The following is a 12,183-nucleotide window of genomic DNA, read 5'->3' as shown; positions in this document are numbered from 1 at the left end:
ATTTTATCCAGAAAAAAATATATACATGTTTATATGTGTGTGTGTATATATATATAATGTATATATATAATGTATATATATAATGTGTGTGTGTGTGTATATATATATATATATAAAATGTATATATATATTTTTGAGAAGGAGTCTCACTCTTTTTGCCCAGGCTGGAGTGCAGTGGCGCAATCTCAGCTCACTGCAACCTCTGCCTCCCAGGTTCAAGCAATTCTCCTGTCTCAGCTTTCCAAGTTGCCGGGATTACAGGCGCACACCACCACGCCCAGCTAATTTTGTATTTTTAGTAGAGATGGGGTTTTACTGCATTGACCAGGCTGGTCTCAAACTCCTGACCTCAAGTTATCTGCCCACCTCAGCCTCCCAAAGTGCTGGGATTACAGGCATGAGCCACTGCGCCTGGCCAAGAAAAAAAAAATTCTTATGTAAGGCGATAAGAAAAAAGATAACCCTGTAGAAACATTGGCAGAAGTCTTGGATAAGCATTTCATTAAAAAAAAGCCATCCAAAATACCAATAAGTTCATGCAAATATTTTTACATTCCTTAGACATCAGAGAAGTGCAAATTGGAAATCACAGTACAGTATCACTACACACTCACTATAATGGCTAAAATTAAATTACAGACAATACCAAGTGTTACTAGGGATGTGGAACAAGTTGAACTCATATGCTTCTAATGAGGGTGTGAATTGGTATAACCACTTTGGAAAACTGCTTGCTTCTATTACAGAGAAACACACCCATACTTTATGATCCAGCAGTTCCAATCCTAGGTATGTATCTGACAGAAACGCAAGCGTGGGCTCAGTGCAGTGGCTCACATCTGTAATCCCAGCACTTTGGGAGGCTGAAGTGGGAGGATTGCTTGAGCTTAGGAATTTGAGACCAGCCTGGGCGACATAGTGAGATCCTGTCTCCATATTTAAGGAAAGAAAGAAAGAGAGAAAAAGAAAGAAAGAAAGAAAGAAAGGAAGGAAGGAAGGAAGGAAGGAAGGAAGGAAGGAAGGAAAGGAAGGAAGGAAAGGAAGAAAGGAAGGATGGAAGGAAGGAAGGACAGACAAGTGTGTTTTTTCACCAAGAGAAATGTACAAGAATATTTATAGCAGCAGTATTTGTAACAGCCCAACCTGGGAAAAGCCCAATGTTCTTCAGCAATAAAATAGGTAGACTGGGCGCGGTGGCTCACGACTGTAATCCCAGCACTTCAGGAGGCCGAGATCTGCGGATCACAAGGTCAGGAGATTGAGACCATCCTGTCTCTACTAAAAATACAAAAAATTAGCCGGGCGTGGTGGCACGCGCCTGTAGTCCCAGCTACTCGGGAGGCTGAGGCAGAGAATTGCTTGAACCCAGGAGGCGGAGGAGGTTGCAGTGAGCTGAGATCGTGCCACTGCACTCCAGCCTGGGCAACAGGGCGAGACTCCGTCTCAGAAAAAAAAAAATTGGTAACGTTTCTGTATTAGTTTCCAATTGCTGCTGTAACAGATTACCACAAATTTAGTGCCATAGAACAACACAAATGTATTATCTTACACTTCTGGAAGTGAGAAGCCTAACGTGTGTTACTGAGCTAATGTCAGAGTGTGGGCAGGGCTGTGTTCCTTCTGAAGACTCCATGGGAGAATCTGTTTGCTTGCCTTTGCCAGCTTCTAGAGGCTGCCTGCATTCCTTGACTTGTGGCTCCTTCCTCTGTCTTCAAAGCCAGCAGCACACAGCGTCTCCAAAGGTCTCTCTCTCACTCTGACCTTCTTCTTCCACTTGTAGGGACCCTTGTGATCGTACTGGGCCCACTCAGATGATCCAGGGTAATCCTCCTTCAAGATCCTTAGTTACATCTGCAAAGTCCCTTTTGCCATAGAAGGTAACATATTTATAGATTCCAGGGATTAGGATGGGGACGAATGTTACTTATTGATTTCTAGTAATATATATACATTATATATAGACGTAGATATATTTTCTGGATATGGTTTTTTGTTGGATATTGGTTTCTGCAAGTATCTTATTCTACTGCATACCTTGCTTTTTAAAAATAATTTTTATTTTGTAATAAATATATATTTACAGAAAAGCTATAAAGATTCAAACATCTTTGGGGGTCATTATTCTGTCTACCACAAGTAGTATATTCGTACCATGGATTGTTATACACGAAGAAAGAACGAACTAAATTACATATGACAACATGAGTGCATCTCACAAACGGTATAAATTACAAAAACTATGTAGCTCAAGTTATATAAAGCCCAAAAACAGGCTAATGTAATCTGTGGCATTAGAAATAAGGATAGTGATTCCCATAGGGGAGGGTAATGACTGAAGAAGACATGGGGGGACGGGGTTTCTGGAGGCTGATCATGTTCTGTTTCTTGACCAGTGTGTTGATTAATGGGTGTGTACAGTTTGTGAGAATTTGTCAAGCTGAGCCTTGTGCATTTTTGCATGTGTGTTATACTTCAATAAAAAGTATATGTGGGCCACGTGCGGTGGCTCATGCCTGTAATCCCAGCATTTTGGGAGGCTGAGGCAGACAGATCCCTTCAGGTCAGGAGTTCGAGACCAGCCTGGCCCACATAGAGAAAACCCGTCTCTACTAAAAATACAAAAACTAGCTGGGCATGGTGGCACATACCTGTAGTCCCAGCTACTCAGGAGGCTGAGGCAGGAGAATTGCTTGAACACAGGAGACAGAGGTTGCGGTGAGCTGAGATGGCACTACTGCACTCCAGCCTGGGTGACAGAGTGAGACTCTGCCTTGAAAAAACAAAAACAAAAACAAAAACAAAAAAACAAATAAACCTGTATGTGGGAAGAAGAACTCCAAGATGGTCCATCAAATTCCTGGCCCGGGTGTACACAAACCTTCTCCCAGTTATTCAAACACTAATCTAGGTGTTGTGAAAGGATTTTGCAGATGTAATTAAGGTCCCAAATCACTTAACTTTAAAACAGAGATTTTTCTGGGAGGGCCTGATCTAATAACATGAGATTTAAATCTGGGTCTAGAGGTCAAAGACTGGGAGTTGGAGATTCAAAGCATGGGAGAGATTTGATATGAGGAAGATATTCCTTTGAGGTGGAGGAGGCCACTTAGCCAGGAATGTAGGTGGCTTTTATGAACAGCCTGTGAGGAAATGGAGACATAAATCCTACAGCTGCAAGCAGTTAAATCGAACCAACAATTGAAATGAACTTGGCTGTGAATTCTTCCCCAGAGCCTCCAGAAAGGAGGCTTCGTTTCAGCCTCCTAAGAGCCTGAGCAGAGAACCCAGCTGGCACTTCTGGCCTGCAGAATTGTAAGCTCATAAATGGGTGTTATTTTAAGCCACTAAATTATGGTGATTTGTTATAAGCAATATAAGACTATAACATTCACAAAAAATAAAGTGGCCATTGAGAAATTTGAGGGACACTCAGTCAAAAACCACCAGTTTTACATTCAGTTCTTTTGCTTGTTAACGTGTCTGCTCACCTAGGAGGAAAGAAGGGGGAAAGGCTCCTGAGAATGTGAGCTCTAGAAACGGAGTCTTCCCAGAGAGACTGGACCACGACTAGCCAGCATTGCCACTCAGGCGAGATTGGCAGTGGCAGGGAGAATGGACCAGACATTCTCTAAGATTCCTTTTCATCTTATAATTCTGTGGCTCACAATATTCTAAAATTCATTCATTCACTCATTGGTTCATTCACTCATCAAATATTTATTGCAAAGCTATCACATGCCGGAAGCTGGTTACATGTAATGTTGTAAAAGTTTTTACAGATGTGATTAAGTTATTAAAAAAACAAAAGCAGAAGAGGTAGAGTATTAATCCTTTTTTTTTTTTCTCTTGAGACACTCTGTCTCGCTCTGTTGCCCAGGCTGGAGTACAGTGGCGAGATCTTGGCTCACTGCAGCCTCTGTCTCCCGGGTTCAAGTGATTCGCCTGCCTCAGCCTCCTGAGTAGTTGGGACTACAGGTGCGTGCCACCACACCTGGCTAATTTTTATATTTTCAGTAGAGATGGAGTTTCACCATGTTGGACAGGCTGGTCTCGAACTCCTGACTCAAGTGATCCGCCCACCTCGGCCTCCCAAAGTGCTGGGATTACAGGCATGAGCCACCACACCCAGCCCCTATTAAATCCATTTCTATAAGAACGTGTGTGTGTGTGTGTGTGTAAGTATGTGGGTGTCATGTATGTACTAAGAGCTGCAAGGATACAAATTCATGCCTGACAGAAATGGGAGATGGGAGATGTTCAGAGGTGGAAGGGAGAGTAGGTTGAGAGGGACATGCACTTATGTACCTGATAACAGAAAACAACTCATATTCAGGCACTGTTCTACCTGCTTTACAGACTAATTTTCACAACAGCCTTATGTGGTAGGTTCTATTATGATGCCCATGTTACAAATGGAGAAACTGAGGCACAGAGCGGTTAAGTAACTTGTCAAGGATCACAAAGCCAGTAAGTGGCAGAGCTGAGATTCAAACCAAAGGAGTACGTTCGAGTCCTGCTTCTTAACCAATGAACTACACTGCCTGTTTCTGGATTGTTTGGGGAAAAAATGTTTTTAACAATGAGTATGCATGCTTCTCAGAATTTAGAAAAAAACTACAAGGTGGCTCAACCCTGTTATTCCAGCCCTTTGGGAGACCAAGGGGGAGGATCGCTTCAGTCCAGGAGTTCTAGACCAGCCTGGGCGACATTGCAAGACCCCACCCCATCTCTATTTTTAAAAATGAGCCCGGGCTTGGTGGCAGGCACCTGTAGTCCTAGCTACTACAGAGGCTGAGGTGGGAGGATCGTTTGAGCCTGGGAGGTCGAGGCCGCAGTGAGCTATGATTGTGCCACTGCACTGCAGCCTGGGTGCCCGAGCAAGACCTTGTCTTAAATCAATCAACCAGTAAAGAAAAAAATCCCAGTTAATTGAAGGCATTTACAATAGGGTTTGTGGAAGTTTGTGAAAGTTCACCAGTTCCTAACACTTCCTCTTTCTCCTCCCCCATCCTTTTTCGAACCCCAGGACTCCCCATCCCCACCTCACCCCAGACACACTGGTGAGGAAGGGGTCGGGGGGCGGGCAGGCTCACCGCCTCCCGCTCCCCAAAGCCAGGACTGTGCAGTTGATCCCAGGAGCGAGCCCGGCGCGGCTCCCTGCCGGCAGCGAAGCGAAACATTTGGACATGGCCCCGATTTTTCGGGTGCGGTTGGCAAGTCCCGGCGTGCGCGAACCAAACCTGCGGTTCCCGGGGCAGCTTTGAGCGGGTCGGGTCGGCTCCATAGGAGAATGGCCCCACCTGCAGGCAGAGAGCTCCGGATAGCTGCCGAGTCACTTTCTCAGCAAAAACGGGCTTTTGCTGTTTCCAGAAGGATCCAAGAGAGGACTTTCAGCTCTGGAATTTTGAACTCAGGATCTGTTTCTCCCTCGCGGAAAGAGGAAGGTGGACGAAGGGCAAGCCCAGGCCGGCAGGGGCTACCGCAGGAAGACGCCCATTCCTGGACTCGGGTTCGCAGGAGCCCCCTTGCTCCCCAGAGCCGGAACTGCGCTGCCTGCCACGCTGTTGGGGACAGAAGGCCTCACAGCCTCCCAGAGTTGGGGGCCGTCCCATCTTCCCAGTACACAGGGGTCACAGCCCCAAATCCAAACCGGAGGAAAGACTCTATACCCCAGAGCTTCCCAGGGGGCAACCTGTGGTTTAAGTGCTTTACGTGCTTTAACTGGTTTTTGTTTTTGTTTTTTTGAGATGGGATCTCGCTCTGTCAGCTAGGCTGGAGTGCAGTGGTGCAATCACAGGGCACTGCAGCCTCAAACTCCTGGGCTCAAGCAATTCTCCCACCTCAGCGTCCCAAGTAGCTGGAACCACAGGTATACATACCCCTCCACCCCCAGGTAGTGGGCGTCTCCCTATGTTGACCAGGCTGGTCTGGAACTCCTGGGCTCAAACAATCCTCCCGCCTCTGCTTCCCGTAGTGCTGGGATTACACACATGAGTCACCCGGGCTGGCCTCATGTCTTAACTCTGGATCCTCACAAGGACCTTACAGAAGTAGGAAAGAGGCCCCAGGAGGCTGGGCTCCCTGACTTGCTCAGGTCACTTGGATAGTCTGGCCTCAGAGCCCAGCTGATATCTACTAAAAGAGACTCCCCAGTCTGCTACAGAAAACAGATAGTTCCCGTCTCTACTAAAAATACAAAAATTAGCTGGGTTTGGTGGCATGTGCCTGTAGTCCTAGCTACTTGGGAGACTGAGGCAGAAGAATCACCTGAGCCCGGGAGGCGGAGGTTGCAGTGAGCCGAGATCGCACCATTGCACTCCAGCCTGAAGACAGAGGGAGACTCCGTGGAAAGAAAGGAGAGGAGAGGGGAGGGGAGGGGAGGGGAGGGGAGGGGGGAAGGAAGGAGAGAAGGAAAGAAAGAGAAAGAGAGAGGAAGGAAGGAAGGAGATAGTAATTCATTGCCTGCACTCCCTGCTTCATAAGTATCAATACCAATTATTTAAATGTGCAGGAAATCCAGTGGAATGAAATCAACACGGTTGTTTTTTATCAGCCCTTCCCCTTAGGATTTGTCAGCTTGCAGCTGGTGGTGCTACTGCATATGGGCTGCCTTTGTATTTTTGTCCATTTCACATCTTCATGCCTGTGAACCTGTTAGGTATTCCTTCCTGCCCACCTTGCAAACTTGATTAACCATCTTTTTTTTTTTTTTTTTTTTTTTGAGACAGAGTCTTGCTCTGTCGCCCAGGCTGGAGTGCAATGGCATGATCTCGGCTCACTGCAAGCTCCGCCTCCCGGGTTGACGCCATTCTCCTGCCTCAGCCTCCCGAGTAGCTGGGACTACAGGTGCCCGCCACCATGCCCGGCTAATTTTTTGTATTTTTGGTAAAGACGGGGTTTCACCATGTTAGCCAGGATGGTCTCAATCTCCTGACCTCATGATCCACCCACCTCGGCCTCCCAAAGTGCTGGGATTACAGGCGTGAGCCACCGCACCCAGCCAATTAACCATCTTTTAAAAGCAGTCTAAATGCTATCTCCTGCCTGAAGCCGTCAGCAGCCCCAGCTAGCAGAAATGCTGTTAGGATACTTGTCTCACTGCATGAAAATTACAATTTTCCTGTCTATCCCCTCCTGGATCCAGAAGTGTTTTTTCCAGAGTGCGACACTTCCCAGAATCCACTGGAGAGCCAGCCCAAAGGGCATATCAGGATGGGACAAATTACATTCTGGAAAAGCTGCCTTGGTGATTCCAATAGTCCTCCCACCCAGGTGAGACCCACTGCCCAGAAGTGGGGTTCCTGGGTTAGCATGATATCTCATCTGTCACCACATCTCAGCATCCAGCAGAGGCCGAGTGCTGGAAAAAGGGTGTGGGAAGAGATTGAGTTCACACGGCTCACCTGCTCATTGCATTAAGAGTATTTCAGAACAGAGTTTTTCAGTGGGGGCAGAGAGCATGCCCCTGCCTCAGGTGAAAGTCTTGGGCATGAGCCTGTCACCTACCAAATCACCATGAGACAGCATGTGACCTTGCGGATGGCCGGGGTTCGGAAGAGGTCCAAGATTGAGTTGGAGGTGCAGACACTTGCAAACTCGCTTTGGATGTAGGAGCTCATCACCTAGGTAAGAAGACTCTGCTCAGGGAAAGCGAGGGAGCTCGGACCCCACATCCCTGCTGGGAACCCCTTCGTCTGTGTGGAGGAGAGCTGGGGTTGAGGTCTTTGGTGAGGTGGCTGGCCCTTGTCTCCGCTCCGTCCAAGGACTGATGGCACTTGAGGGGTGTTGAGAAGTGCCAACACACTGTTTCCAGGGTGTTGAGAAGCTCCAACACGAACTCCAACACTACTGAGGTTCTGCGGTTCTGGAGGGCCTCCCACCCCATTCCTGGTATAGACTCGGAGATTGAGTCAGATAAGAGCAGGGGTTCCAAGTGGTTCTGCCACTTCCTACTGTGTGTTCTCAGGCAAGTTACCCGTCCTGTCCCCACTTCAATTTCCTCTTTGTCAAAAATGAGACATGAAATGAGATTACATACATAAAGCTCTCAGCCTAGTGCCCGGCATGGGGCTTGAGAAATGATGCTTATTGATAATAAATGGTAACTATCTTATAATAAATGGTATTTATAATGGTGCTTTTGTTATTGATTCCCCAGTAATTTTACTGTGTGGTTGCTATTTTAATAATTTTAGTTTATTATTTTATTAAAATTTCAACTGGATGTCAAGGTTAATAGGGTTATTTCCTAATTACAAAGGTGGATTGACTGATGAGCAAAGCAGTTAAATTATTTATCCTAAATCACACAATCATTCAATACCTAAACAACATCTTTCGCACATGAGAACTCTGCCTGTCCTGTTTATTCCCAATGTCTACACCTGGATGGCACGTGAGTCCTGGGAAGTTGCTAAATTCTAGTACAACTGGAGGTTGCCAGCAAGACTGAAGACTGTTCCCACCCTTCCTTCCTCCCAGCTCGCTTACCTCCTTGGTCAGCCTTTCCCCTTCCTCCTTCCTCCCGTTCATTGCAGCCACCTTCTGCAGATTCTGTACAGCTAACTGGGACTTGCCATGCAGGAGGAGCCAGCGGGATGACTCTGGAAGCCACCTGGGACCGAGAGGAGGAAGAAGGATCTGGGGCTGGGTAGAGCTCATTCTATTCCCCAAACCCAATACCCCCTTGTCTACCTTCTTTCAGACCCAAAAAAGATGACCTGTCCTCCTGTCTGTAGCATCAGGAAGTCTGGGGGCCATGCCAGCTTCCCTTTTTTTGCAGTACATCATACAGAGACTCACTGAACAGTATTTAAAGACTACAGAGGACTTGGCCAGGCACGGTGGCTCACGCCTGTAATCCCAGCACTTTGGGAGGCCCAGGAGGGTGGATCACCTGAGGTCAGGAGTTTGAGACCAGCCTGGCCAACATAATGAAACCCCATCTCTACTAAAAATACAAAACAACTAGCCGGGCATGGTGGTGTGTGCCTGTAATCACAGCTACTCAGGAGGAGGCTGAGACAGGAGAATCGCTTGAACCTGGGAGGTGGAGGTTGCAGAGCCGAGATCGCGCCACTGCACTCCAGCCTGGGTAACAGAGGGAAACTCCATCTCAAAACAAAAAAAAAACCAAAAAAAAAAAAACAAAACTACAGAGGACTTAGGATTTCAACAGACCCGTGGCATTTTTTTTTTTTTTTTTTTTTTGGACCAAGTCTCACTCTGTCGCCCAGGCTGGAGCACAGTGGAGCAATCTCGGCTCATTGCAACTTCTGCCTCCCAGATTCAAGTGATTCGCCTACCTCAGCCTCCCGAGTAGCTGGGATTACAAGCACCCACCACCATGCCTGGCTAATTTTATTTTATTTATTTAATTATTTTTTTTGTAGAGATGGGGTTTCACCATGTTGGCCAGGCTGGTCTCGAACTCCTGACCTCAAGTGATCTGCCCACCTCAGCCTCCCAAAGTGCTGGGATTACAGACGTGAGCCACCACACCTATCCCAGACCCGGTTTTGAATCTGGTTCTGACCCCAGCTGTGTGGCCTTGTGTGAGTCATGGGCCCTCTCTGGGCTGTGCTTCATTACCCTCTTATATATGCCCCAGTTATATTCTTATAACTTTATAAGCACTTAGAGTACTTATGAAGTGTTGAGGGATGCGAAGGAGTTGATGAAGGCAAAAGCTCTTGGGACGTTCCAGGGCCCCACACTAATGCAAGGGATTTTACCAGAGCGTCCCAGTAGCCATTCGTGAGGACTTGAGAGCTTGCAGCCTCCATGAACGCCTGCCATCCTTTGTGTCCCCTGTCAAGTCCAGCAAGCCCCGGTCACTGCACACCCCAACCTCTCACAGGGCCAGGTGAAGACTCGGCCACACAGGTGCACCCTCCCCCACCCCACTCTGTTCAGGACATACCAAGAATAGAGGAAAAAGATCAGGAAAGGAGCAGAGATGGCAAACTGCAGGCACCGCCAGGGGCGAATCAGGTAGGCTACCCCAGCCAGGATGAGCTGGCCCAGGGTGAAGGAATACCCCAGCAAAATACCCGCCACAGTCCGGCCCCGTGTGGGCATCCACTCCACAACTGGGGAGAAAACAGTGACATTCAGCGGCATTCAGCTACCCATGTGGTTAATTCACCACACCCCCCCTTATGATTCTGACCACTTAAACTCATTCCAGAGACCCTCTGAGACACAGGCAAAGGTGTCCCTACTGCACTCCAGATAAATTCTAAGTGGATCAAAGAACTCAATAAACAATAAAACCACAACAATGCCAGAAGAAATCATGGTAGATTATTTTATAATCTTAGAGTAGGGAAAGGCTTTTCCAAGAAAGTCACAAAACCCAGAGGCAATAAAAGGGGAGGTTGACAAACTTGGAGTCGTAAAAATAAAAAATGTCCGCATTGGAATAAAACAAAACAAAACACCGTAAGTCAAGCCATAACGTCAACAAAAAATGTAAAAATATAGTTGTAACCCAACTAGCAGATAAAGGACTAATTTTGGGCTGGGCGCGGGGGCTCACTCCTGTAATCCCAGCACGTTGGGAGGCTGAGTCGGGCGGGTCACTTGAGTCAGGTGTTTGAGACAAGCCTGGACAACATGGCGAAACCCCGTCTCTACTAAAAATACAAAAATTAGCCGGGCATGGTGTTGTGTGCCTGTAATCCCAGCTACTCGAGTGGCTGAGGCACAAGAATCGCTTGAACCTGGGAGGCGAAGGTTGCAGTGAGCTGAAATGAATTGGACCACTACACTCCAGCCTGGGCGACAGAGCTAAAGACTCTGTCTCAAAAAATAAAAAAAGAAAGAAAGAAGAAAGAAAGACTAATTTCCCTAATACTGAAAGAGTTTTCACAAATCAATTAGAAAACGGCCAACAAGCTAAAAGGAAAATGGGCAGAGGTGCTCAACCCCATGCAAAGACAGAAAATACTAATTTTTATAAATAGCAAAACTTGGAACAACCTGAATGTCCATCTGTAGGGGACTGGTTAAGTAATGATGACACACCCTTACGAGGCAGCTGTAACAAATTAATGAGGAAGCTTCTTCCCAATGGGCAAGAAGCCTGTGCGTCCAGTCCTTCAGCAAATCCTTCAGAATTAAGCCAGAATCTAAGCTCTCCTCACTGCCTCTGCTGCTGCCACCGTGGCCCAGTTCAACCTGGTCTCTTGCTTGATGACAGCAGCAGCCCCTTAACCGGCCTCCCTGCTTCCGTCCTGGTGTCACATGGCAGCCACATAGATCTTATCAGATCTCAAATCCTAAATCAGATCAGGTCTCTCCCTGGTCAAAATCCTCCGGTGGCTCTTGTCTCATTCAGAGACAAAGCTGAAGTCCTAGAACGCTGGACACAGGGTCCTGCAGAACTGCCCTCCCCGACCTCACCTGTCGCCCACCTCCCAACTCTGCTTCAGCCACAGGGCCCTCCTTGCTCTTCACCCTGGGCACACTTTCCCCTGCAGGGCCTCTGCCTGGCAGTTCCCTCTGCCTGGAATGTTCTACCCCAGAAACCTGCAGGGCTCATTCCCTCAACTCCTTCCAGTTTTGCTCAAAATGACCCCTTTTCAGTGAGTCTTTCCCAAACCACGCTAATTAAAACTGCAGACCCCTCCCCTCCAACCTGGCCATTCTTTGTGGGATTTTTTGTTTGTTTGTTTTGTTGAGGCAGAATCTCACTCCATCACCCAGGCTGGAGTGCAGTGGTGCGATCTCGGCTCACAGCAACCTCCACCTCCCGGGTCAAGCAATTCTCTTGCCTCAGCCTCCCGAGTAGCTGGGATTACAGGCGCCCGCCACCATGCTCGGGCTAATTGTATTTGTAGTAGAGACAGGGTTTCACCATGTTGGCCAGGCTGGTCTCAAACTCCTGACCTCAGGCGATCTGCCCGCCTTGGCCTCCCAAAGTGCTGGGATTACAGGCATGAGTCACTGCGCCTGGCCAACCCGGCCATTCTTATCCCCTTTCCAGGCTTCGGTTTTCCTCTGTAGCACTTACTGTCTTCGAACATACTATACGATTCGTTATGCATGCTGGTGATATCTCGCCTCGCTAGAACATGGACTCCAAGGAGCAGGGCTGTGTTCACCGCAACCTCTAGAGCCTCTCCTGGCACTAGGAGGCTCTCTATCAGGCAGTGGACCAGTGACAGCTTGGTTAAGTGA

The 12,183-nt window shown here is 47.7% G+C and overlaps 1 pseudogene across 1 annotated transcript in view, besides 2 other annotated features; it reads right to left on the bottom strand.

Annotated features, from left to right (window-relative positions):
* Positions 1-12,183, bottom strand: part of SLC22A20P (solute carrier family 22 member 20, pseudogene) — a 28,918-nt pseudogene that overhangs the window by 11,671 nt on the left and 5,064 nt on the right. Inside the window, exons 4-6 of the transcript NR_033396.1 lie at positions 9,923-10,091; positions 8,491-8,614; positions 7,507-7,622 (exon numbers count right to left, since the gene is read on the bottom strand). The product of NR_033396.1 is annotated as a solute carrier family 22 member 20, pseudogene (transcript). The remainder of the gene's footprint in view (positions 1-7,506; positions 7,623-8,490; positions 8,615-9,922; positions 10,092-12,183) is intronic.
* Positions 5,018-5,217: an enhancer, noted in NCBI's record as "active region_4951". NCBI's record gives its function as "activates an Ori minimal core promoter by ATAC-STARR-seq in GM12878 lymphoblastoid cells {active_cell/tissue: GM12878}" and the evidence as "EXISTENCE:reporter gene assay evidence [ECO:0000049][PMID:35858748]".
* Positions 9,092-9,321: a silencer, noted in NCBI's record as "fragment chr11:64989237-64989466 (GRCh37/hg19 assembly coordinates)". NCBI's record gives its function as "represses an EF-1alpha promoter that drives an FKBP-Casp9 reporter gene in an ReSE screen in K562 erythroleukemia cells {active_cell/tissue: K562}" and the evidence as "EXISTENCE:reporter gene assay evidence [ECO:0000049][PMID:32094911]".

Source organism: Homo sapiens, chromosome 11 (assembly GCF_000001405.40).
Source record: "Homo sapiens chromosome 11, GRCh38.p14 Primary Assembly".
NCBI lineage: Eukaryota > Metazoa > Chordata > Mammalia > Primates > Hominidae > Homo > Homo sapiens.
The sequence above is the reverse complement of the archived record's forward strand: the minus strand, read 5'-3'. Positions and strand labels throughout refer to the sequence as shown.